Source organism: Homo sapiens, chromosome 14 (genome assembly GCF_000001405.40).
Source record: "Homo sapiens chromosome 14, GRCh38.p14 Primary Assembly".
Classification (NCBI taxonomy): domain Eukaryota; kingdom Metazoa; phylum Chordata; class Mammalia; order Primates; family Hominidae; genus Homo; species Homo sapiens.
The window spans coordinates 46826315-46832191 of record NC_000014.9 but is presented as its reverse complement, the minus strand read 5'-3'; positions in this window follow the sequence as shown (position 1 = coordinate 46832191).

Sequence of the window (5877 nt, the reverse complement as noted above, 5' to 3'; positions counted from 1 at the left end):
AGTTCTCTGTTCCTTAGTGTCCCTTGGACACACCATAGAGCAGTCTGGAGCCAGACTGCCTGGATTCTTCCTATACAATTTCCCTCCATTCCTTCATGTGTAAAAGGAGGTAGTATATTGCCTAATTTATGAGCTAATATATGTAAAACACTTAGAATATTACTGGTAAATAAGAAGTGCTACGTAAGTGCTTACTCACCTGTAAAAAAAAGGCGCAGCAATAATAATACCCATCTCATGATGCCATGATGATTAAATGAGGTAAGGCATATCAGGTATAATATTTAGCAAAGAAACCATTTTAGATTTTTTTTTCAAAATAATGGCTTAATGCAGTAATCTGTCTTCTAAATAATTTTAAATTTTTTTCATGAAAAACCCTTTTTTTAACCTTGTTTTATCTTGAGGATAGACAAGGAAGAATTTTCCACAATATTTTAATGATGCAAATATTTTAATATTGTTATGTAACTGACATAAATTGTATTAGCCCTCAAATGAAGTAAGTTCTCTGGTATTACTTTCTAATATAAATGACTTTTGAATAATCATGCTTATTTTAGAATGTAAACAATTAGAAAAATTAGACATTTTTTAGTGAATAAGCACAAGTTTGGCATTCTTCAAAAGTTAATCATTAATATTTATATATGTACATATATTCTAGACAGAAATGTTGCTAATTTGTAAAAATTTAACCTTTTATTTTGACATAGATTTACATGCAGTTGTAAGAGATAACACAAAGGTTTCATATACACTTTACCTGTTTTCCCCCAATGATAACTTTTAAGACTGTAGTACAATATCACAAACACATCGACATTGATACAATCCACTAATCTTGTTCCCCAGTTTTATTTGTGCTTGCGTGTAAGTGTGTATTTAATTCTGTGTATTTTAAACACATCTATAGGTTCATGTATCCATCACCACAGTCAATACACAACAGTTCAATCACCACAAGGATCGCTCTAGTGTTGCCTTTTGACAATACATCTCCCTTTGGCCAGCTAATTCTACACCACTGGCAACAATTAATCTGTTCTCCATTTCTACAGTTTTGTCAATTCAAGAATGTTACATAAATGGTATTATACGCTACATAAATATTGGGGAGTTGCTTTTTTCAGCCTAATTTCTTGGAGATTTATCCAAGTTGTGGTATGTATCAATAGATTGTGCCTTTTTATTGCTGAGTAATATTGTGTAGTATGCACGTACTACCTTTTGTGTAACCATTTATCCATTGAAGGACATCTGGATTGTTTCCAGTGCAGGGCTATTATAAATAAAGCTGCTACAAACATTCATGTACACATTTTCCTGTGAACTTAGATTTCCATTACTCTGAGATAAATGTCCAGGAGTATAATGGCATGCAACATAGTAGTTGCATGTTTAGTTGTATAAGAAACTGCCAAATTGCTTTCCAGAGTGAGTATATCATTTTGCATTTCTGCCAACAATGTATGAGTGATCAAATTTCTGTACATTCTCACCAACATATGTTATTGTCACTGTTTTGTTTTTGTTTTAACTATTCTGATAGGTGTATAGTGATATCTCATTGCGGTTTTAGTTTGCATTTTCCTAAAAGCTAATAAAGTGGAACATCTTTTCATTTGCCATCTGAATCTCCTCTTCTGTGAAATGTCTAATCATGTCCTTTGCTTGTTTTATAATTGCATTTTTAAATGGTTTAGTTTTGAGAGCTCTTTTTATATTCAACATCAAAGTCATTTGCCAGATGTGTGGTGTTCAAATATTTTCTCCCTGCCTGCACCTTGTCTTATCATCCTTTTCACATGGTATTTTGCAGAGAAAAAGTTTTTAGTTTTGATAAGGTCCAATTTATTTATTTTTCCTTTATGGATTGTGCTTTTTTGATGTAAAGTCTAAGGATGCTTTGTCTAGGCTTAACTACTAAATATTTTCTTGCCATTGTAATTTTCAAATCAACGTTGCCCTTAAAATAGAAAATAAAACAAATTTTTAGACTTGTATTATGTTAGGTACATTTATTTTAACTCAAAGTACTGGCTTTTTTCATAGCAATGATGAAATATGTAAAATTATCAAATAAATGTGGCTAAAAGTTAGATATTTTAAGTATTAAATCTAAATTTAGAAGGTAACATTTAAAGTTAATTATATATTATCTGACATTCCATAGAAACATTCATTTAAGAAGAAGAAAGTTGCCTCTCTTTATCCCAAAACATACCCACAGATTACAACCTTGAATTTTTTGTATTACCCTTTAATATCACTAATAGGAATTATATCATGTAAAAAATCAGTCATACAAATAATTATATATAAGGATATTGTGGTAGTTCATAATGTTGAAAGAAATGGAAACGATCTAATTGCCCATCAGAAAGGGAGCATGACATAAAGCATTTGTGCTCTTATATCTACTCCAGCTTTAATAGCACAGTGCATCCTGAGGACAGCTGATTGCATGTGAGATTTTTTCAGGAACTAGGACCTATCCATGATTGTCATTCAAAAGTGTCAGACATTTAACACCACCACAACCACTCTCCTGTTTCCCCACCCTGCACCAGCAGCCTTGGATCAACTCCTCAGCTTTCCATCCCTGAGGGAGAATAGCTCTGAGGAGCCTGTTTTATAGACACCCAGAGTTCTCCAGTGAGACCGAGTTTATTACTCACCATGGTCCCTGGATCAAGAGCAATCCTTTATTGGTTGTCTTAACTTCCCTTTCTCATTTCCTCACATCTCAGAATTTACTGGCATCACCATCCAGATAAAACACTGCATTGAAACCCTTGTCTCAAACACTACTTATGAAAGAACTGAAAAATGATTTATTTGTGGAAGAGAGAAGCAAGAATCTGTTTAAGAAAATGGGCTCAAACTCAACATAGGATATATGTATTAACATATAAATATGTACACTATATGTTGTTAGGCTAAAAAAATACATAAAGTTAAATGTCATCTGATATATTTATAAAAACATGTATACCCTAAATTGCTAGGATTCTTACTGCCTGGTAGATATAATGAAGCAGTTTCCTTTTTTATTCATTTTCTATTTTCTTTCTGGGTACTTTTTTTTTTTTACATTGAGCATATGTTAATGTTGTTGTCTTAAAAAAAAGAAGGAAAACACCTGATGAGAGAAAAGGAAGAAAATGGTTTAGTGCAAGGAAAAGTTTTCTTTGGGGGTTTTATTTTTCAAAAGTGGATCCTTTCTAGATTTGGCCTAGAAAATAAAGCTTTAGGCATTCTACAAGGGAAGTATAATACAGTAAGGAGAACCACGTCTGCCTAGTGAAGTCCTAGGGATGTGCTGGGATACTGAAAACAGGATAATTATCAAAGGCAAATATTACTTAATGGCGCACATTGGCAGAGGAAATCAAGTAGGTTGAAGAGTCAAAATATGCTCTACTTGGTGAAGATACTTAATTCAAAGTTTAGGCTGGGAATATTAGTTGGAAGAAAAGAAAAAATCTTGATTGTGAGTTCATGAAAACTATAATATATGTATTAATGATTGGTAACAATGATGAGTTTAAATGCCAGAAGAAACATGCAGAATTTCTGTGTTGGAATATAATGGACATGTGCTTTAAGACTTTTCCCACTTTTATCCCTTCTTTCCAGTACACTAATTATTTGTTGATCTTAGTTATAGTCTCTCAACTGTATTTATTTGTTCTGGAAAATAGTGCACTGCATATGAAAGTAATCGCCGTCACAGTGAATGCATTTCTTTTCATCTGTCTGGCCTGGCTAGCCCTGTTGATTTGGGCATGTGGTAATGAGGCCAGTGCTGTAGACTCAAACCCCATACTAATTAGCTGTACATGGAGAGACGAACTCCATGGACAAACCTGCTACTCTCAACCAAACATCAGACCAATGCTTATTATCAGTCAGAAATGGGACTAAGATTATGCAGCTAAATTGATGGTTTTCATTACCTTTATTGAATAAAAATGTTAAAACTTTGTTTTTCACTCGTGTATTAATACCCTATGCTTCTCTAGTATTCCTCTTGTATGGAATGGCAGCAACAGTCACTAAAATTTAAGCCAGAAAACTGGGAATCAACCTTGATACCTCCACATTCTTCACTCCCTCTATTCAATCAATCACCACACCTATTTGTTTTGCCTCCTGAATATATTTCAAATCTATCTTGTCATGTCTAATGTCCCTACCCCAGACTAGGTTACCATGTACTCTTGCTAGGATACTGCAATAACTTCTTCTTGTAGACCTTTACATCCAATCCTGCTGTCTCTAGTCATTCTCTATGTTATAGCTTATGTGATTGTCTTAAAATGCAAGTACTATACACATTCTCCTTCTTGCAGCCTTTTAAAATCTCCCAGTTGCTCACCAAATAAAGACAGAATTCCTTAAAGTAGGACATAAAGCCTGCATGACCTGGTTTCTTCTCACCAATCCAGCCTTACAGCTCCTGTTTGATGGGCACTGGTACTCCCCAAGACATATCATATTTCATAATCTATCATCAGATTTAAATAAAGAAATGAATGATTATCCTACCACCTTCACTCACATTGCTTCAGAACTTTTTTTTTTTCATTTCCCCAGTGCCATCTCCATACTCAGGGTTGTGTCTGCTTTTGTTTTGTCTCTTAATGCTCTAAGCCCCTCTTCCTTTGTCCAGTTCATTCCTGATCTTAGCTTATACATACACTCCTCTGAAAATCCTTTCTTTATCATTTAGGCCAAATAGGTTTTCTCTATTATATTTACCCTTTTCCTTAGAACATTCCTCAAAAGTTTAATTGAATATTTGTGTGTTTTATTATTGTCAGTTAATTACCAGCCTATTACACTGTAAGCTCTAGGAAGCCAGGGGAAATATGCTTGTTTTGGTTACCTTTAAAAAAAATTCATAGGAGGGTCTCAAATATTTGCTAAATGACAATGAATGACTATATTTCCCCTCTATTGATCCCTTAGAAGCCAAGTCAAAAGATTTCCCCGAAGATTCATTCTCTTCAGCCATTTTGTATTGTTCATCACACTTTTTAATTTTGAAATTAAAATGTGTTGGTGTTACTGTGTTTGCTGGTTTTTCCTAATTGTTTTGAATACTATCTATCTATTGCTTCACATACCACCTATTTCTTCTTTTATCTTTAACTGTAGTTGTTTTCCATAGGTCTATGTTCATCCCACCCATTATAAGAACTACATCTCAATGGATGATATCAAACTGACTTCAATCTCCCAGACTATATTTGTCATATAGATTCAAAATGTATGATGAATCATACACTCTACAGTCCAAATCAGAAATCAGTTTCCACTTCATCACTAAAAAACATTTTTTCTCCTGAATTATGATATTCTTCTGAATTCTCTATCTTGGTTAATTTGGTCACCATTATGCTCCCATTTTTCTGGTCAACTATGTTCAAATATATTCAAAACCCATAGAATCATCTTTGCCTCCATGTGTTGTATCCAAAACTTAATCAGTATTGCTTCCTTATTCTGTCATCTCTAAGCCTTTTAAGATTTCATTCTGCTTTCAAAGAAATTCAGACAGAACCTGTCTTGACATTGTAATACATACTAACTCATGTCATTACCCTTGTACCCGAGATTCATCATCATAACCATGTCAAATTTGTCTTCCTAAAGATAACTGTACTCCTTTACAAGAATGTGGAGCCTCAAATATTTTGGTCCCCTGCTCAGGGATCCTTAGTATCTACCTATTGTATGCTGACAAAGGTACAAAATCCTAAGTGTGTACCCAAATATTTTTTAAAATGTTTATAATATATCTTGCCAGATTACTATGCATTGCAATTTTACTGAAAAGCATACTCTCCCTAGAACGTATTCACACTT